The sequence below is a fragment of the Homo sapiens genome, chromosome 6 (assembly GCF_000001405.40).
Source record: "Homo sapiens chromosome 6, GRCh38.p14 Primary Assembly".
Taxonomy (NCBI): Eukaryota; Metazoa; Chordata; class Mammalia; order Primates; family Hominidae; genus Homo; species Homo sapiens.
Genome location: NC_000006.12, coordinates 29,062,821 through 29,085,530, shown reverse-complemented (window position 1 = coordinate 29,085,530; position 22,710 = coordinate 29,062,821). Strand labels below are relative to the sequence as shown.

The following is a 22,710-nucleotide window of genomic DNA, read 5'->3' as shown; positions in this document are numbered from 1 at the left end:
TGATCTCTTGATAAAATTCATCATATGCACCTTTTCAGAACTGTTTTTGGTATGTAATTTGGCTTCAATCTAGCTGGCTTTGTTTTTGTTTTGTTTGAGAATGAATTTTACTCTTGTTGCCCAGGCTGGAATGCAATGGCACGATCTCAGCTCACTGCAACCTCCACCTCCTGGGTTCAAGTGATTCTCCTGCTTCAGCCTTCCAAGTAGCTGGGATTACGGATGCCCGCCACCATGCCCAGCTAATTTTTTGTATTTTTAGTAGAAACGGGGTTTCTTTGTGTTGGCCAGGCTGGTCTCGAACTCCTGACCTCAGGTGCTCCACCCATCTCAGCCTCCTAAATTGCTGGGATTACAGGCATGAGCCACTGCACCCAACCAATCTAGCTGGTTTTAAACCAGCTAAGTGTGTGCATCTCAATCTGGAAACCTTAAATGTCAGTTGAGTTTTATTTCAAATTCTATTTTCAATTCATCTCTTTATTCCTCCGGATAGCATTTATCCTTTCTTCCCTTTTGTTAAATTCCTTATTTGTCCCAAGTTCTACCTCAGGTATGTGGCATCTTTTCTAAATTATAGAGCTAATTATAGAAATGTTAATGGGAATCCTTTTTTCTCATATTGACCTGAATTAGCTTACTCTTTATCTGTGGTAGTCATTCAATAAACATTTATTGTTCACAAGACAGCAGTAGTCCAGAGGAGAAATATCACAGTTCCTCTGCTGAAGAAATGTGCTAGTTCCAGAAGGCAATGATTCTTAAACTGAGACATTTAAATGATGGTTTACAGTTAGTAATGTAAGGACACAGATGAGGCAACATTTCAGGCAACAGAGAAAGCTTTACAAAACAAAGCATTTCATCATTACAAGTAATTTAGCAGTTAAACAATACAAAACCAGGCAAGATGAGGTTGACGATGTAATATAATTATATATTATATATAGTTCTATATCACATATAATTATGATAATGATATATTATATATAATTATATTATATATTATTATATTATATATTATTATATTATATATAATTATATTATATAATTATAATTATCTTATATACAATTACAATTATATTATATATAACTATAATAATATTTAGATGACATTTCAAATAAGTGGAAAAAGAAGAGACTGAAGAAATGTCTGTTGAGTTTTATTTCAAATTCTATTTCAATTCATCTCTTTATTCCCCTGGATAGCATTTCTCCTTGTTTTTCCCTTTTGTCAAATTCCATATTTGTCCCAAGTTCTACCTCAGGCATGTGGAATGACCCCTTAATTATAGAGCTAATTATAGAAATGTTAATGGGAATCATTTTTCCTATATCGATCATATCTTCAGAAAACACAAAAAATGAAAGAACACAAAGGGATCCACCTTTTACCTGGATCTCTGTTGTTACCCAATCTACCTTTATGCACTTCTCCCAACTCACTACCAGCGGAGTTTGCGTTTTTTCGTGTGCATTATATCAGAAAATATTCCTATGTTTTCTGGTATTTAAAACATAATTGAAATAGCTGCAAATTGGGCCGGGCATGGTGGCTCACACCTGTAATCCCAGCACTTTGGGAGGCCGAGGCGGGTGGATCACGAGGTCAGGAGATCGAGATCATCCTGGATAACACGGTGAAACCCCGTCTCTACTAAAAATACAAAAAAATAGCCGGGCATGGTGGCAGGCGCCTGTAGTCCCAGCTACTCGGGAGGCTGAGGCAGGAGAATGGCGTGAACCCAGGAGGCGGAGTTTGCAGTGAGCCGAGATTGCGCCACTGCACTCCAGCCTGGGCGACAGAGCGAGACTCCATCTCAAAAAAAAAAAAAAAAAAAAAAAAGCTGCAAATTTAATTTCACCAAGGAAGTGTATTAAAATCTATTTAACCACTTTCCTATTGTTGAGCATATTTACACTCCTTGTTTTGATTATTGTTACTACTACTGCCAATAATTCAATATGAATTTGTGTCTAAATGTCAGTTTATATTCTGAAAAACTGAATTACTGGCTCTAATTATAAATTTCTTAGAAGATCTAAGAGTTAATAGATATGGTCAAATTGTGCTGTAGAAATTTTATAACATTCCACATTCCCAGATAGATCACTGTATATAGCAAATGAGAATGGTTGCTTCACGAGCTTTTGCAAACTCTGAGAGTTTCATCTTTTGATGAATATGCCAATTTTAGAAGCAGAAACATTATCAAGTTCCTATTTGTTATTTCCTTGAGTATTTTGAAAGTAGAGTATTTTTCATAAATTGAATACATTAGGAATGTTTATAAATATTTTATTTTTTCTCCCCTTCTAGGCAGATGGTAAAATTGCACATCCCTGTCCTATCGAATGCAGACCTGGCTGTTTAATATGATTTGCCAATAAAATGTGAAGAGAAATGATGTGGGTTATTTTTTGATGACTTCAAAATCTAGTACATACTCTGCCATGTTCTCTTTCCCTCTGGCAATCAAAACAATGTTCCAGGTAGGTTCTCAATCAGCCTGAAACAAATGTTAGGAAATTAAAATATGAGGCACTGGCAAAAGGATCACATGGCAGATGATGAGGGATATGATAGTAAAGCTTGAAACTGAGAGGGGCCAAGATGGTCAGTGACACAGCCAGGAAGAACATCTTCCACAACAGACCAGGATATCAGGAAGACTGGCATACTCCGAGCCGATCTTCGGAGGGAAGGCATTGAGGGTGGACAGAGGGAGGACATAGAACCTGGGCTGGAGGGTGAGAAACCTCGGAACTTTGCACGGAGTTGCAGAGTACCCGGACTCGTTTCTGGCCCATGTTCTTGGCCCGCAGTGACTCCTGGGGAAGAGGTCCGTTGAACACACGAGGAGTGGCCACTCTCGCCACAGACCTCCAGAATCCCAACTGCAGGAGACCCCATGACCCCGCGGACACTTGAGCTGGCAGGGAGAGCTATTTGGAAAGGTGGCAAGGACAGGACTTCAGCCTGTGAAAAGCCCAGAGGGTCTGACACAGGAACGGCTGCAGTGGAGCATGGCCAGAGACGCCCATTCCCCCAAAGCTCACCATGCTCCTCTAGGTGGTCTCAGCCTATGGTAACTGCCAGACCTGAACGGAGCAGGGCTATCTTACCTGTGGGATGGGACCAGTCTAATCTGAGTGCTCCCTTGTCTGCCGGCCTCTCCTGGGGTAGACTGGCTAAAGAAAATGTGCTACATATACACCATGGAATACTAAGCAGCCACAGAAAAAGAATTAGATGATGCCTTTTGCAGGAACATGGATGGAGCTGAAGACCATTTTCTTAAGCAAAGTAACGTAGGCACAGAAAACCAAATACCTCACACTCTCATTCATAAGTGAGAACTAAACACTGAGTACACATGAACACAAAGAAGGGAAAAGTAGACTCTGAGGCCTACTTGAGGGTGGTTTAGTTTTTTAAGGACTAAAAAACTACCTATCATATACTATGCTTATCACCTGGGTGGTGAAATAGTCTATACAACAAACCCTATGAAATACGATTTACCTACGTAACAAACCTGCACATGTACCCCTGAACCTAAAGTAAAAGTCTAATAAAAAATGAGAGAGATTGAAATTATGGTGCCAGGTTTGGTGGCTCACACCTGTAATCCCAGCACTTTGGGAGGCCAAGGTGGGCAGATTGCCTGAGCTCAGGAGTTCAAGACAAGCCTGAGCAAAGTAGTGAAAACTCATCTCTAAAAAAATACAAAAATTCATTGGGTGTAGGAGCAAACACTTGTAGTCCCAGCTACTAGGGGATGCTGAGGCAGAAGGATCACCTGAGCCTGGGAGGTTAAGGCAGCAGGGAGCCAAGATCACACCACTGCAGAGTACAGACAGAGAAGACCCTGTCTCAAAAAAAAGAAAGAAAGAGAAGAAAGAGAGAAAGAAAGAAAAAGAAAGAAAGAAGAAAGAAAGACAGGGAGGGTGAAAGAAAGAGGAGAAAAAAGAAAGAAAAGAAAGAGAAAGAAAGAAAGAGAGAAAGGAAAGAAAAGAAAGAGAAAGAGAGAGGGAGGGAGGGAAGGGAAAGAAGAAAAAAAAGGGAAGGAAGGAAGGAAAAAGGGAAGGAAGGAAGGAAGGAAGGAAGGAAAAAGAGAAGGGAGGGAGGAAGGGAGGGAGGGAGGAAGGGAGATAAAGTGATCCATGTTATACAATAAGGAAACATTTCATAAACTATCACCTGCAATAACTTAGAAGGCAGATAATGAACCTAACAACTGAGTGGAACCCGAGGGTTATGAAGAACAATGGATGGAGGAGCTACTTTTCAATGAGTGGGATATAGGGACATTTCCAAACTCACATTTGGAACGCCTCACAAGAACTGCCCAGTGGTTACAGTGATTGTTTAACTTCTGGGAAGACATTTTAAGGGCAGAGTGTGTTTTGCAACTTTTATTTCCCTCTATCACAACAATCTAGAGAACTTTGGATAGTGTCTACTTCATCAGTTTGGATCCCTAATGCACAATGACATGGACAAGTCCCTAGCAACATTCAATAAACACAAAACATAAGCAAAAATGAAATATTTGTTGGTTTAAGCCTTTATGATGGACTTGTTTACCAGCATATGTTAATTGGCCATTTTTTTTAAAAAAAATAATATTATGGAGAAATACTCACTGTTAAGTGGTGGAGAAAACTCAAGAAACGATTCTACACTTAGAACATGACCCTAATTTTATGTATACCTATATGTGTAAGAAAACACTAGAAATAAGTTCACCAAGCTAACTGTGGTGAGGTAAGTGACAGGATATCAGGAAATTTTTATTCCAGGCTTCTTATTTTTCTGTATTTTCTGATTTCATCATACAATTTCTTAAGTATTAGGAAAAAGTCTAAACATCATAAAACTGGTGCTCTAAGTCTATTTCACCTTGAAAAGTCTTGCATTAATGTTTATTTGCTTCCCATTAGACACTATCTTAAAGCCATAATAACCTAAAGTTGAATTTTATTTGAAATAAAAATTATTGATAGTGAAATTTTTATTAATGTATTTATAAATTTGGCAACTAATTTTAGAAATATCTACTCCAACCTTCAAGCTTACCATTAATAATTTCCCAAAGTCTTCTTAAAAATAATTTTATAAATATTTATACTTTGGGGGGCATTAGTAACTTAAATAACAAAAATAAGATGGGTTGAGCTCTAAAATTTGAATCACCATCAATGTTCTAAAATATTTTTATATTACTTGTATCTACATTATTATCACATACCACCTAAATCAGAGACACTTAAATTTTCTCTGCCTTCCTAAGTGCACATCCAGAGCAAAGATATTATATATAGATATATAGTATATACAGATATTAAAATAGTTATAAATTTGCCTAATGTTTTTCAATCGCTTACTATACATACAGATTTTGCTATTTGCCGAGTATTTGTTAGTGAATAAGACAGACACAATTCCTTCCCTCACAAACTTTATAGTCTAGTGGGAGAAAGAAAACAAATAATAATACTAAACATGTAATTACAAGTTGTACTAAGTACTATAAAGTAAAAATGACAAGGCTTCATGAATAAAATGGATGGGTGATTAGTTTAAACCAGGAAAGGTTCAAGGAAAGCTCTTCTAGGGAAGTGTCATTTAGGCTCAGATCTATAAGTGAGGTAGTAAATTCTTCAGAGTAGACAAAACAGTAGATGCTAAGGCCTTGATCTGGCAGGAAGTATCATAACCACAAGTGTTCTTTTTATTGTCATCTTTTTATTTAATGTAGTTTACTACATTTTACATTTATAATGTATTTTTAATGTAATTTTTAAAGTTGCAAGTATAATACAGAACTTTAAATACCCTTTTCCAGAGTCATCATTCATTTACATTTGCCTTACTTTTACACATATGTAATATATAAATGTAGTTTTCATATCTATGAAATTTTTCCCAACCTTTTTATTACTACATACACTTTAGTGTATAGTTGCTAAGGACATTAACTTCCATACATAGCCAGTACAATCATAAAAACTGGGACATTTTACAGTCATATAATACTATTATGTAATCAATAGTTCATATTCAGATCTTGTTAATTATCTCCAAAATGTTCTTTATATTTTCTCCCATTCAGGAGCCAATAATGATGCAACATTTCAGAAAAGTGTATAAGGATAGTTTGTCTTAAAATCGATGCTGTTAACTTTAGTCACTTGACTAACATGGTGTCCCCCAGATCTCATTATGCCTTTTTCCTGAGAAATTAATAAGTAATTTGTGGCAGACAGCATAACTATGTAAATGTCTTAAACTTTCACCCACTAATTTTAACATCTATTAATAATTCTCCAATCCTAGTATGCCCTCTATATTTATTAACTGATGTGCCATTAAGAGTTTTCCCTTTTCCCCCTTCATGTATTCATTTTTTATATTTTTATCAGTATATACTCATAAATTTCTATTTTATATCGCTATTTTACCTTTTTTTATTATTACAGTTTTTCTGGGGTACATGTGCAGGATGTGAAGGTTTGTTACATAGGTATACATGTGCCATGGTGGTTTGCTGCACCCACCAACCTGTCATCTACATTAGGTATTTCTCCTAATGCTATCCCTCCCCCAGTCCTCCATCCCTGACAGGCCCCAGTGTGGGATGTTCCTCTCCCTGTTCCATGTGTTCTCATTGTTTAACTCCCACTTATGAGTGAGAACATGCAGTGTTTGGTTTTCTGTTCTTGGGTTAGTTTGCTGAGAATGATAGTTTCATTAACTAGATTAACTGTGTAGTAAGAATTTATCATTCACTTTTCACTTCCACACCAGCAGGATGATGTAAGGAAACTAATACCATCAGAAAGGATCATGTTTTAAAATTAAAGCTATAATAGGGAAAAAAAATATATATATATATACTGTATCCCTACATAAAGCTGAGGGTTACCGAGAATAAGTCAAATGTATTCATTAATGTCAATAATGAATTGGGTGGGAGTGGATTCAGACAGAAAAGAAATAAAAACAAAGGGTATACGTATATCAAATCATCACACTGCACACCTTGAATATATACAATCTTTATTGTCAATTAAATATTGTTTTAAAAAATAAAGGACCAGAAGCTGAATATAGTTATAGAATGCAGCAAATGATGAAAACAAAAGTGGGAGCAAAGAACAAGCCTGAGATGATCAGTGTGAACTTGGCTAGAAGGATTCCAGATTGCTAGATCTGCTGCTAATTGTGAACCATGGGTGAAAAAAGCAATTACTTTAAAAACAAGCCCATGGCCAAAAGTTTTCAGGACCCATATTTTCAAAATTCCAGATTCCATGATTTTTAATCATGTTTTAATAACATTAATGTATGTTAATATCTTCTTGACACAATGTTTTTATGGTTTAAATAAAATGAGGAACTTTAATGTAGTCAATGGAAGGTAAAAAGTCTATACTGTGTTGGGTTATTGTGGAAGAAATTATTGAAGACTTCTTTTGTCTGTATGTGGAACTAGGATTATGATGGCTCTATGGTAGCAGAAATCTAAAGAAATAATATCTTGAGAAAAACTATAAATAAAAGAAAATTAGATCTTGGCACCTAAAATAATAATCTTAATTTCCTCCTTGTGATCCAAGGAAATTTTTATAAAATTGTTAAGGCAGATTCAGTTTCCTTGGCTTCTCTCAGACCTGAGTCCATTATAAATAACAGGTGCCAAAATTTATCATTTCATTTTATTATGGCAAGGAAGTTAGAGGGAAGCATACCCACTAAGGAATTGCTATAATGACCCTTACCAAGAAATTTCAACTCTATTATCTGTACAGAGAACAAAGTTTCACAGCTTTATAGAGTGAGTGGCAACCCTATAAAGTACTTTTTTTAAAGTACCTTTAGAACAAGATCGTGTCCTTTGCAGGGACATGGATGGAGCTGGAAGCCATTATGCAGGAACCATTATGCAGAAAACCAAACCCTGCATGTTTTCACTCATGGAATGATGAGCTGAGCAATGAGAAAACATGGATACAGGGAGGAGAACAACACACAGTGGGGCCTGTCTGGGGGTGGAGAGGGGAGGGAGAACATCAGGAAAAATAGCTAATGCATGCTGGGCTTAATACATACGTGATGGGTTGATAGATGCAGCAAACCACCATGGCACACGTTTACTTATGTAACAAACCTGCACATCCCACACATGTATCCCAGAACTTAAATAAAATAAAATAAATTTTTTAAAGTACCTTCCTTACCTCTAAAGAGTAAGTAGGTTTTCATATTTGAAAATATTTGGGGTGTGCTCTGAGGGAGGGCCTGGGCCACCCACCTTTGCTGGAGGAGCCCTTCAGGCCATAATAAGCATGAATAATGTCTTTCCTCTTTGAGTGGATCTACAATGGCTTCAGCAGTGTGCTCCAGTTCCTAGGACTCTACAAGAAATTTGGAAAACTTGTATTTTTCGGTTTGGACAACGCAGGCAAAACCACTCTTCTTCACATGCTCAAAGATGACAGATTGGGTCAACATGTTCCAACACTACATCCGACATCAGAAAAGCTATTAATTGCTGGAATGACTTTTACAACTCTTGATCTTGGTGGACACAAGCAAGCATGTCAGGTTTGAAAAAATTATCTCCAAGCAATTAATGAGATTGTTTTTCTGGTGGATTCTGCAGATCATTCTGGCCTCATGGAATCTAAAGTTGAGCTTAATGCTTTAATGACTGATGAAATAATATCCAATGTGCCAATCCTTATATTGGGTAACAAAATAGACAGAACAATGCAATAAGTGAAGAAAAACTCTTTGAGATATTTGGGCTTTCTGGACAGACCACAGGAAAGAGGAACATGGCCCTTTAGGAGCTGAACGCTCACCCCACTGAAGTGTTCATGTGCAGTGTGCTCAAGAGGCAAGGCTAGGGCGAGGGATTCTGCTGGCTCTCCCAATGTATTGACTGATGTTTGGACAGAGAAAATAAGAGTTTTTCTCCTCTGGACTGATCCTGTTCACAGCTTCTTCATGGACTTTTCTAATAGAACAATGAAAGGTCTCCAATCATGTCTAGCATTGAGAAGCCAAGAGTCACTGTCTACTCTCATCACCCAGTGGTGAAATGTTCTCTTCTCCACACTGTTGGGGAGGTAATGCTGCCCCATGTGCTGGTGCAGGTCAGTATCCTGGGGCTTGGAAGCTGGCAGGGGTTGCTGAGTAAAGCTGTGTGCCATTATGGGGCACCTGAAAAGAAAAACACATCTCACCACTCTGGTTGATTTCAAAAGAAAGTGATTCTATTTTTAAAGAAAGTGTTGTTAATATAATTGATACCCCTTCTAACTTTTCGAGTTCAAAATTTACTTAGTCCAGAGTTTTCTATTCTTTTTTAAACTAATGAATGACATTTAGATACTTCATAAAATTATGAACAGATACACATTGGAGGCCAGAGCTCATTTGGGTAAACTCACTCCTGCTGAGTTAGCAGGTTGGTGAGAGAAGCTCCCCTGAGCTCACCTGTCTCTCTAACTGCCTTGGAGAAGGTGGCATTACCTTGTGAACAGAGAACCAGAAAAGGGGCAGAATCCTGGCCTTGTAATTGCGGCAGGTTTCCACTGTGGTAAGCTAGGGTCATTCCTTCTCAAGGAATGTGTAGCAGATCATTCACTATTGAGCAGTTAATTATAGTGTAAGTTACTGTTATTATTCTTATTTATAAAGTTATAGGTTTCATCCAGTCTTTACTTTTATACTTTGGTGAAATTTTATTTCCCTCTATAGCACCTTCCTTTTTCATTTTCAGTTATAAAAAGTAACTTTCACCTCATGAAAAAGTTGAGAACATCTCTTATGTTGTCACATACTGCAGGTGTGTCAGTTACTTTTGCACAGATTCTAGAGGAAAATTTTTCTGAATAGGAAGACAGGACAAAGTTAACAGCTTAAGGGCTCTTAATTCTGGGAGTTGAGGACTTAAATGTATTGTAGCACTTGTCTGAATGCAGGAAAAATTTACTCACTGGGCTTTAAAATTTCCATTTGCAGAATTTGGTCTCTATTGGATTTTTCCTGAGCTCTTTGTCTTACATCTTATCTCCTTAGATATCTACGTTGCTGTGTTTAAAGTAAAGGTTAACATCTGTAGCTTTTCCAGGTGTGTTTGTGTGGATTTTTTTAATATGAAATTGCCTTTCCCCATTGTAGAAATAAGCTGGGGGGAAACACTAACTCAAAAACTTTCTGTAGAGCTGTTCCTTTGGAAGCAGCATCACTTATTGGCAGTAAAGACTCAGGATAAAAGCAACAGCATCCCTACCACGGTGATGAGGATTGATTTTATAGCATTCCATTTTCTTAGTGTCACATGTGAAATTGGTTTTTTATGATCTTAACCTAAATTCTACCCTTGTAGTAAAAGATCAAAAGATAAGATCTCCTAGGAAAAGACAGGAGATAGGAGATGAAAAGTTAGGAGGATATCTTTATTCTAATGTGAGGGTAGGGAAAATGTGGATAACATATTATTGGGGAGAGAGTATAGTTATTTAGTTGGAGTTCTCAGTCTTCAGTACTGACTTGTTCGGGAAACATACTTTTTCACTGCCAGGTACTGAATGCAGAGGCTCAGTGAAGTATATTTCCGGGAAGTGCATGCATTTCATTTATTAGCAAGCATAGCTGGATTAAGATAAAATTGTTTGGAAAGGGGTTAAAGCCTTAACTGAACAAATCTAGCTAACAGTGAATGAACTAGATAGTTAACTTGCATTTTTTTTAAATTTTCCTTTGGTTAAAGGTTCCCCATACTTCTCTTATCAGAGACATGAGAAGTATGATTGCTTCCATGTTGGTTTTCTTACTTTTAGTTTCGGATTTTTTTTCCCTATTTGTCCCTAGTAACTTTGTTGCAAGCTAGAAAACTGTCGGTTCTACGTAGGGCAGCTGCTGTGAGGAGCTCAGCTCTAAACACAGGATCAGCGCCTTGTACAGGAATTCTCATGAATTAAGATGTTTCATTCTGTTTTATCAGAGTGCATGTATGTCCTATTTCAGAAAAAGTAAAACAGTCATTTACAAAAGAAAGTCAATCTGTATCCTAAGCATTTTAATTAAAAGTTAAAGCATAAATAAATAAATAAACAATAAATCAAAAGATTTGGGATCCTTTCAATCAAATAAATAACTATTAAAGACCTCTGATATGACATAAAACCACTGAATACAGAAAGAACATTCAATCTTTATCCCCAATTAACACTGAATTCTGATGGAAGAAAAAGATTAATGTTCTTTTTTGCAAGAAAAGAGGGTACCCCTAAAAAATATCAACACTGATTTAGGCAACTGTTGCATATGAGTAGAAATGATCTATTTAGCTTGATTGATTTAATCTTTTTATACAACCACATGCATGTTGTGATCTCCTTATGAAAATTTGCATACTAAAAAAACTATTTTAAAAAAGGCTACTGTGGGCACACTGCCTATAGGATAGCCCTGCTAGGCAAGGAGCAGTTAAAAAAAGTATAAATAAATTGACACCTATTAATACTAATACTAATCATTATAATTTAAAACATTGAAACATGTTTTTGAAAAATAATCTATGGTACTGTTTGCATTTGTGAGCATTTCCACTGATTAAAAACATATGTGTACTGATATTAAAATCTAGAAATCATTAACATCAGATTCAAGGCAAGGGATCTGAGTAATGTAGGGAAATAAAATGGTAGAAAAAACAACCCTTCTAAGACTTCTTATGGGAATATAAGGACATGGTTAATATTTGGATACAAAGAAAAATTAACTATCAGATATAGACTTAAAATCAAACAGGGAACTTTATTTCATGAAAAATAACCAACCCAACATTGAGTATTGGACTTAATAAAGCGTGTTCACACATATGGTGCTAATTAATCTCCACAACGGAGCAAGATAGATAAAGAAGTTTCTGAATATTTAAGCAAGACCTAAAATGTACATGTATTAGTAATTGGGAAGTGGACTAAATCTAGATTTTCTAATATCATTCTTGTTTCTTTTCTACTATGCCAGTATTGTCCAAATTTTTTACCATTACCTATAGTAAGGAATATATTGTACATCAGAATCCAGGTCATACAAACACATATATAAAATGAGTGATGAGAATAAGTAAAATAAATCAATAAAATAGTATATAACTGCGTAATAGATTACAACTCACAGTGTGAAAAGCACTAACATACATCATACTGTATAACTGCTGATACTTTAATGACCTTATATCACTTGGCTGTGCAATGAATTATCTTGTCTTGTAAGTACTGAACGTGTTGCAAGGAACCATTTCCTTTCAGCTGTGTGCTTCCTTTTATGACAAAAGTTTTATGTTGGCGATCGTCATTCCAGGATTTGGGAAGAAGAGGTAAGGAATAGCACTATGTTGTTTCTATGCAAATCAGACTGATCCACGTGGAGCTCAGTGAGTTCTGAACTCACCTACATCAACTCACAAATTGAACCAGAACATGACCAGGGCCAACAGATTTTGGATGAAAGAAATTAACACGTGTTAGTTAGCATGGGTAGTTCTTGGGCATTCTTTAAAATTATTCATTTCTCCATCTGATTCATTTTTCTAATATAAGATTAATTATGTTTCCCATTACTTAATCATTATTCTGTAAAAGTTTGCTATATTGCATTTCTTGGGTAAGATACAGAGATTTGTTGATCTTCCTTTTAGAGGCACTAGAAAGGTAACATTTTGGCCTTTAGATAAAATTTTTCATGCTTACAAGTGTCAAATCACATCAGTTTAGTTACATCACAGAGAAAACCCCTTCATAACTCAGTTTATTTTACTTAACTGAATAAGTGGAGTATCAGAAAAATTCAATACTAAAGTAGCCTTTCCTTTCCCTCAAATCCACCAACAAGAGCAATGACAGGAATCTGGGCAATGCAATTGCTCGAAAGATCTTCATTCTCTGGGGTTTCTTTGACCACCCCTAGCCGGAAATGTTTCTCTTCATAATGGGGCTTGTTGCTTATCTCTGCATACTGGTGGACAACATCTCAATTATTGTGGTACCCAGGGGATATTTTAGGGGAGCACCAAATGCATCATTTTAGCTGTGACGTCTTTGGATCCTTACATTGCCATCTGCAAACACTTGAGGTACCCAGCTATCATGCATCAGCAACTCTGTGTCCTCCTAGTGGCCATGGCATGGCTAAGCAGTTTGGCCAACTCTACTTCAGTCATCCCTTGCCGTCCAGCTGCCACTAGGCGGTAACAAGGTGGACGACTTTCTGTGTGAGGTCTCAGCGATGATCAAGATATCACGTTTTGACACCACATTCAATGTATCTATGCTCTCCATTGTGAGGATATTTTAGTCCCTCGTTCTCTAATCAATTATCTTTGCTTACTGTGGATTCATTGTAGCTACTGTGCTGAGGATTCAGTCCTCAGGGGGAAAGAAGGAGGTCTTCAACACATGTGGTTCTCATATTGTATCTCTCCTCTATGGGCCTGTAATTAGCATGTATGTACAGCCCTCTGCCAACTCCCAGGACAAAAACAAATTCATGTCCCTGTTCTACAGTTTGGTGACTCCTATGCTTAACCCTTTTATCTACACTTTGAGCAACAGGGACATAAAAGGGGCAATGAGGAGGCTTCTTGTCTTTTTGTATCACCAGGAAGAGAACAAAAGTAATTATTTTTATACTCCACATTCTTCATATACAGGTCAGAAGATCTCCTGTTCTAAAATTACATGTTGATTTAACCTCCTCCAAAATTGTTAGCATTCTTTACTACCCACCCTGTCTACATATATGCTTTTGTACCACACAATGGGGTTTGTTGGATATCATTTCAAGTGTGAATCCTAATCCTCAGATTGTCTGCAATTTGCATGGTAGTGAGAACTATGTCCTTATATTCCTTTGTATTTATCTAGAAATATCCATAGGCATCTAAAAAGTGGGCAATAAATAAATGTTAATAGACTGACTCATTTACTCAGAGCAAAAATCAAGTCCTATCATTTTATGTGTTACTTTGAAAAATATATATGAGTAATATAGACTGCAGTTTACCTTCTTGTTATTATGAATGTGATTTAAAGGCTAATCTTTTATTTGCAAATTAACTTTTTATGGATTGCCAGCAAGATCAAATAGGTTAATATCTCATATTCCATAACTGACCCTCTCAACCACAAATTCACTGATCCTTTACAAATAAAATAATTCAAAAATAATATCTGACTCTTTCCTATCGATCTTAATGGGATTTCTTCCTTCTGAGGTATTTGACTGAAGTAATTATTTCTAGGTTATCAGATGGAGAAGTTAAAATCTTCAGAAATTTCTATGTTGTCTCTTAATATTGAGAGCCACTCACCCTTCAATGGGAAGACAACCTACCTAGAATGAGAAAATTAGATGTATTTGGTAGGTAACCGAAGGATTAAATCGTCTCATCATTTAAAATCAGAATATTCAGCAGAAGGAAAATGGAAAAAGAAGGTAGAGCACAACCTGGGGCAAATATAAAATAAACTAGCTATCAGACCGTCAATTTTGAGATAGAGGTGACAAAGTAGAAAGTTGGATAATGATGTAAGAAGGCAGTGTTCTGTTGACTTTATCCATAACATCAACTCTCCTCATTATAAATCCATAATTTTTCTTATACTTCCTCTGCTCCCCTGTCTTTCAACTTGTGTTTAAGAAAAACATTTGTTTTTCTAACAACTACATACATTCATTTGAGGCCTTCACACATCTGCCCATCCTTCATGTATTTCCACTGTGCTCTTCTGAATGACAAGAACAAAATCTATTAACACACAATGTGCAAACCGCTGATAAAGAAATATTATATATTATAGTTTTGCCATTGTTGGAGACAAGGAAACATCACTCTTTTGGAGGAAAGTTGACTCCCTGGCATACCAACATGTCTGTAAGGACTAGGCCTGATTTCACTGTGTACCTCTCCTTCATAGTACTGACCTGTATTGAGAGAATGGGCTCTAAATAAGTATTTTTTAAATAAATGAATGAATGATAAGTATTACCCACTGTCCTAATTACCTACTATTAAAACCTATATAACAGAATCATGCAAAAATGTGTCATATACTAAACAATGAGTGTAGCAAAAGAGGTTTGTAGCTGAATGTTTTTTTAAATTTTTTATCTCCATAGGTTTTTAGGTAACAGGTGGTATTTGGTTACATAAGTTCTTTAGTGGTGATTTGTGAGATTTTGGTGCACCCACCACCTGAGCAGTATACACTGAACTCAATTTGTAGTCTTTTATCCCTCCCTCCCCTCCTACCCTTTCCCCCACCCAGTCCCCAAAGTCCATTGTATCATTCTTATGCCTTTGCATCCTCATTGCTTCGCTCCCTCTTATGAGCAAGAACATACAATATTTGGTTTTCCATTCCTGAGTTACTTCATTTAGAATAATAGTCTCCAATCCCATCTAGGTTGTTGTGAATGCCATTAATTCATTCCTTTTTATGGCTGAGTAGTATTCCATTGTGTGTATATATATATATATATATATATACCACAGTTTCTTTATCTATTCGTTGATTGATGGGCATTTGGACTGGTTCCACATTTTTGCAATTGCAAATTGTGCTGCTATAAACATGCATGTGCAAGTATATTTTTCGTATAATGACTTCTTTTCCTCTGAGTAGATACCCAGTAAGGGGATTGCTGGATCAAATGGTAGTTCCACTTTTAGTTCTTTAAGGAATCTCAACACTGTTTTCCATAGTGGTTGTACTAGTTTACATTCCCATCGGCAGTGTAGAAGTGTTCCCTTTCACCACATCCATGCCAATATATATTTTTTAAAAATTTTTTATAATGGTCATTCTTGCAGGAGTAAGGTTGGTATCTCATGGCAGTTTTGATTTGCATTTCTCTGATCATTAGTGATGTTGAGCATTTATTCATATGTTTGCTGGCCATTTGTATATCTTCTTTTGAGAATTGTCTATTCATGTCCTTAGCCCACTTATTGATGGGATTGTTTGATTTTTTCTTGCTAATTTGTCTGAGTTCCTTGTAAATACTGGATTATTAGTCCTTTGTCAGATGTACAGATTGTATAGATTGTGAAAAATTTTCTCCCACTTTGTGAGTAATCTACTCTGCTGACTGTTCTTTTGCTGTGCCAAAGCTCTTTAGTTTCATTAAACCCCACCTATTTATCTTGGATTTTGTTGCATTTGCTTTTGGGTTCTTGGTCAGAAATCTTTGCCTGAGCCAATGTCTAGAAGGTTTTTTTCAATGTTATCTTCTAGAATTTTTATAGTTTCAGGTCTTAGGTCTTAGATTTAAGTCTTTGATCCATCTTTTTTTTTTTTTTTTTAGACAGAGTCTTGCTCTGTCCCCCAGGCTAGAGTGCAGTGGCTCAATACCAGCTCACTGCAAGCTCTGCTGCCTGGGTTCACGCCATTCTCCTGCCTCAGCCTCCCGAGTAGCTGGGACTACAGGCGCCCGCTGCCATGCCCAGCTAATTTTTTGTATTTTTAGTAGAGACGGGGTTTCACCATGTTAGCCAGAATGGTCTTGATCTCCTGACCTCGTGATCCACCTGCCTCGGCTTCCCAAAGTGCTGGGATTACAGGCGTGAGCCACCGCACTCAGCTTTGATCCATCTTGAGTTGATTTTTGTATAAGGTGAGAGATGAGGATCCTGGTTCATTATCCTACATATGGCTTGCCAATTATCCCAGCAACATCTGTTGAATAGCATGTCCTCTCCCCACTTTATGTTTCTGTTTGCTTTGTCAAAGATCAGTTGGTTATAAGTATTTGGTTTTATTTCTTGGTTCTCTCTTCTGTTCCATGGGTCTATGTGCCTACTTTTATACCCATACCATGCTGTTTTGGTGACTATGGCCTTATAGTATAGTTTCAAATCAGGTAATGTGATGCCTCCAGATTTGTTCTTTTTGCTTAGTCTTGCTTTGGCTATGTGGGCTCTTTTTTGGTTCCACATGAATTTTAGGATTGTTTTTTCTAGTTCTATGAAGAATGATGGGGTTGGGTCATATGTTGAGTTTATTTTAAGCTTTATAAGAAACTGCCAAGTGGTTCCTCAAAGTGATTTTAACATTTTGCATTCTCATCAGTAATAAATAAGAGTTCCCCTTGTTCTGCATTTTTTTTCTAGCATTCACTATTGTCAGGGTTTTTTTTTTTTAGCCAATAGAACATTATGTGGGAATTTTTCTGTCTTGTTGCCTAATATTTAATATTTATAGTTTCATAATATTTAAATTTTATTTACTTATTTTCATAATATTTAATATTTAATTATTTCATAATATTTAAATTTTGCTTCCTGGCCTGCAAAACCTGAACTATTTTCCATCTGGCTCTTGTGGGGAAAATTAGCTGATCTCTGGTCTTTCATATGGATTTTCCTAACTCATTGAACCTCATTGAGGTTCAACTGAACTATAAGTCAATAACTATAAGCTTTTTAAATATGGGAAATAGTGAGTCTTTGATAGGAACAAGTAATTTTTTCCAATTTTTCTTTAAGAATTTTGGCCTATGTACACAAGACAGGGATGCCCTCTCTCACCACTCCTATTCAACATAGTGTTGGAAGTTCTGGCCAGGGCAATCAGGCAGGAGAAAGAAATAAAGGGTATTCAATTAGAAAAAGAGGAAGTCAAAGTGCCCCTGCTTGCAGATGACATGATTGTATATCTAGAAAACCCCATCGTCTCAGCCCAAAATCTCCTTAAGCTGATAAGCAACTTCAGCAAAGTCTCAGGATACAAAATCAATGTGCAAAAATCACAAGTATTCTTATACACCAATAACAGACAAACAGAGAGCCAAATCATGAGTGAACTCCCATTCACAATTGCTTCAAAGAGAATAAAATACCTAGGAATCCAACTTACAAGGGATGTGAAGGACCTCTTCAAGGAGAACTACAGACCACTGCTCAATGAAATAAAAGAGGATACAAATGGAAGAACATTCCATGCTCATGTGTAGGGAGAATCAATATTGTGAAAATGGCCATACTGCCAAAGGTAATTTATAGATTCAGCGCCATCCCCATCAAGCTACCAATGACTTTCTTCACAGAATTGGAAAAAAGTACTTTAAAGTTCATATGGAACCAAAAAAGAGCCCACATTGCCAAGTCAATCCTAAGCCAAAAGAACAAAGCTGGAGGCATCACACTACCTGACTTCAAACTATACTACAAGGCTACAGTAACCAAAACAGCATGGTACTGGTACCAAAACAGAGATATAGACCAATGGAACAGAACAGAGCCCTCAGAAATAACGCCACATATCTACAGCTATCTAATCTTTGACAAATCTGACAAAAATAAGCAATGGGGAAAGGATTCCCTATTTAATAAATGGTGCTGGGAAAACTGGCTAGCCATATGGAGAAAGCTGAAACTGGATCCCTTCCTTACACCTTATACAAAAATTAATTCAAGATGGATTAAAGACTTCAATGTTAGACCTAAAACCAGAAAAACCCTAGAACAAAACCTAGGCAATACCATTCAGGACATAGGCATGGGCAAGGACTTCATGTCTAAAACACCAAAAGCAATGGCAACAAAAGCCAAAATTGACAAATGGGATCTAATTAAACTAAAGAGCTTCTGCACAGCAAAAGAAACTACCATCAGAGTCAATAGGCAACCTACAGAATGGGAGAAAATTTTTGCAACCTACTCATCTGACAAAGGGCTAATATCCAGAATCTAAAATGAACTCAAACAAATTTACAAGAAAAAAACAAACAACCCCATCAAAAAGTGGGTGAAGGACATGAACAGACACTTCTCAAAACAAGACATTTATGCAGCCAAAAGACACATGAAAAAATGCTCATCATCACTGGCCATCAGAGAAACGCAAATCAAAACCACAGTGAGATACCATTTCACACCAGTTAGAATGACGATCATTAAAAAGTCAGGAAACAGGCCGGGCGCGGTGGCTCACGCCTGTAATCCCAGCACTTTGGGAGGCCGAGGCGGGCGGATCACGAGGTCAGGAGATCGAGACCCCGTCTCTACTAAAAATACAAAAAATTAGCCGGGCGTGGTAGCGGGCGCCTGTAGTCCCAGCTACTCGGGAGGCTGAGGCAGGAGAATGGCATGAACCCGGGAGGCGGAGCTTGCAGTGAGCCGAGATCGCGCCACTGCACTCCAGCCTGGGCGACAGAGCGAGACTCCGTCTCAAAAAAAAAAAAAAAAAAAAAAAAAAAAAAAGTCAGGAAACAACAGGTGCTGGAGAGGATGTGGAGAAATAGGAACACTTTTACACTGTTGGTGGGACTGTAAACTAGTTCAACCATTGTGGAAGTTGGTGTGGCGATTCCTCAGGCATCTAGAACTAGAAATACCATTTGACCCAGCTATCCCATTACTGAGTATATACCCAAAGGATTATAAATCATGCTGCTGTAAAGACACATGCACATGCATGTTTATTGCAGTACTATTCACAATAGCAAAGACTTGGAACCAACCCAAATGTCCAACAATGATAGACTGGATTAAGAAAATATGGCACATATACACCATGGAATACTATGCAGCCATAAAAAATGATGAGTTCATTTCCTTTGTAGGGACATGGATGAAGCTGGAAACCATCATTCTCAGCAAACTATCACAAGGACAAAAAACCAAACACCGCATGTTCTCACTCATAGGTGGGAATTGAACAATGAGAACACATGGTCACAGGAAGGGGAACATCACGTGCCAGGGCCTGTTGTGGGGTGGGGGGAGGGGGGAGGGATAGCGTTAGGAGTTATATCTAATGTTAAATGACGAGTTACTGGGTGCAGCACACCAACATGGCACATGTATACATATGTAACAGACCTGCACGTTGTGCACATGTACTCTAAAACTTAAAGTATAATAAATAAAAAAAGAAGTTTGGCCTATGTATAACTATGATATATCAATTTTTAAATGCAAGACAAAGACAGACATTTTCTGTAGGTATCTGTTACTTAATGAGCATGGCTGATCTTTTTAGTTGCCTTTAAAATGTTCTGTATTTAATTAATTCATTCTAATATAAATATTCTGTGAATCTTTATTGTATTTTCTCAATACAATTTAGAACTTTAACTTTCTGAGGAAGGTTTTGAACCTCACTTTTCAATTGAATTTCCTGACGGTCAAATTGCTTAACCCATTCTGAATACTTTTACTGTAATTTTTACAGGCTTTAATGACAAGAGGCTTGAGGAAAGGGAGCCTGTTTTGCCCTTTACACCGGACACACAGAAGGCACCATCCATAAGAAATGAATGCTTACCAGGTAATGAAATTTGCTGGTACCTTGATCTTGAACTTCCCAGCCTCCAGAACTGTAAGCAATAAATTTATGTTGTTTACATAAAAAAGAAAATAAAAATACATGAAGAAGAATTACCCAGTGTTTCTCTCACATCCTTTACAGACTTCTAAACAATACAAACTCTTTAAATTGTAAACGAACTTGGAAAATTTTTACATCATCTTAAACAATTACGTATATCAGTTAAAAACAAATAAAGCCTTTAATAATGTGTTCAAATAATTTAATTTATATTTTGTTTCTTCCTCCATCAAAAGTCTTTACAGAAGCATAAATCAATTTCCTCAAAGCCCCTTTTGACTGATGATTGACTGGTACTTACTTTCTGATTGCTTCATTCTCCCCAATTCTAAGTCCCTGAGTCCCTGACATCAATTTAACTTCTCCAAGTGCAGTAGAAAATATTCATCAAGTGTTTCAATATTTGCTCTGACCTTACTTATAATTTAGCACTTGTTACAATAATTTACATATCTTTTCAGTTCACTGTTTGCTCAGTTGGTCATCCCATTCTTGAGCTTTTTTGCGTGTAGTTTATGCTTTCCTGGACATTGCAATGCTCATTTTAGCCATATTTTGTTGCTATCTTAACTTGCTGGCTTTTTTTACTCTTCTGACATATATTTATGGTTATTTCGCATCCACCTTTTGGGATTAAAAGGACCTGAACACATCTTCTACTGGCTGAACTCCAGTTCCAAAGCTAGCCATCACCTTAACTCAATGTGAACATTAAGACTTTCTTCCTTTTGATTCTTTTCTGAAAGTATCTATTTTAAACTCAAATTTGATATAGACTTGGACCACGTGGTATCTTCTTCTCAAGGCTGCACTCCATTAAAGGTAATTTAAGTGTTCACATTATTTTTTAATCAGCCTAATTTATCAACAACTTTACATTTTTCTCCAACTAAAGCATAAATTCTATGGCAAACTCTTTCTTCCTATTTATATAAACCTGGCTTTCAACTATTAAGAAACACAAATATAGCTGCACTTACCACTATGTTCCAATGTTAAGCCACAGAGATCTGGCATGATTCTCATGTCTTCTGGCAACACTGACATGGCCTCACTTAGCTTCTCCAGGATTTGTATAAAATAAAACTTCATATCAGCAAGTGCACCCTCCATAGTACCAAATCTACCTCAGGCTTCCAGGGCACCCAATTCCATTCTGCCTGGAACCTAAATCAGCCACCTGGGAACAAAGAAAGACCATAAGTCTGGCAGCAATGGGGGAAGAGAGAGTTTTCCAAATATTTTCACATCATAGCACACATAACATGGAATGTATAAGGCTGTTCTTGATTAAAGAAGACTGGCCACTGCTAGTGTGCTCCTCCTAGGCCTCACACAACAACCCCAAAGTCTAAGAGGATTAATGTCTTTTCACATATGTAAAATTCAGAGAACACTGTTTAAGAGGCTTGACAGCTAAGAACTTACATACCATCATCAATACTCAATGTTGCCTTAATGTAAACATATTTTTCTGACATCCAGTAAACCTAATCTTTAAAAAACTAAAAACAAAGATTCTTCCTTTCAGGAAAACACTTCTGCCTTGCTTTCTTTAGATTATGAGAGTAGGCATTGGAGAATTGAATTCTCACTGTCATTCACTTATTAATCTGAATTGCAAGCATAAAAACTCATGAAAGGACCAGGCATGGTGGCTTATACCTCTAATCCCAGCACTTTGGGAAGCCAAGGCAGGAGAATTGCTTCAGCCCAGAAGTTCAAGACCAACTTGGGCTATGTAGTGAGACACCTATCCTACAGAAATTTAAAAATTAGCCAAGTGTGGTGGTGCATGCTCATAGTTCCATAGTTCCAGCTATTCAGGGGGCTGAGGCAGGATTCCCGGAGACCAGAAGGTCAAGTCTGCAGTGAGCCATGATCACACCACTGCACTCTAGTCTGGGTGACAGAGCAAGACCCTGCCAAAAAAAAAAAAAAAAACACCTCAGGAAGAATTCTGGTACTTTGAGATTGGAAAAGAATTTGAAAAACATTCAACATTTCTTCATAAGAAATGTCTCAACAAATTGGTTATAAGGAATGTATGACAACACAATAAAGACCATGTATGACAACCCCACAGCTGAGACCATCAATTTGAAAGTTTTCCCTCTCAGATCAGAAACAAAGCAAAGATGCCCACTCTCACCACTTCTATTCAACCTAGTACTGGAAGTTATAGCCATGGCAATTAGGCAAGAGAAAGAAATTAAAAGCATACAAATCGGAATGAACAAAAGAGAGAGAGAAAGAAAGAGAGAGAGAAAGGGAGGGAGGGAGGAAGGA

At 37.0% G+C, this 22,710-nt stretch overlaps 1 long non-coding RNA gene and 2 pseudogenes across 1 annotated transcript in view; 2 read left to right on the top strand and 1 right to left on the bottom strand.

Annotated features, from left to right (window-relative positions):
• SAR1AP1 (secretion associated Ras related GTPase 1A pseudogene 1) lies at positions 8,290–11,124 on the top strand (annotated as a pseudogene).
• The window catches only part of OR2W1-AS1 (OR2W1 antisense RNA 1), a 40,720-nt gene continuing 26,800 nt past the window's right edge, over positions 8,791–22,710 (bottom strand). Inside the window, exons 2-4 of the long non-coding RNA NR_125387.1 lie at positions 21,402–21,601; positions 20,359–20,410; positions 8,791–9,235 (exon numbers count right to left, since the gene is read on the bottom strand). This is a non-coding gene — a long non-coding RNA (OR2W1 antisense RNA 1). The remainder of the gene's footprint in view (positions 9,236–20,358; positions 20,411–21,401; positions 21,602–22,710) is intronic.
• On the top strand, positions 12,965–13,699 carry OR2P1P (olfactory receptor family 2 subfamily P member 1 pseudogene; annotated as a pseudogene).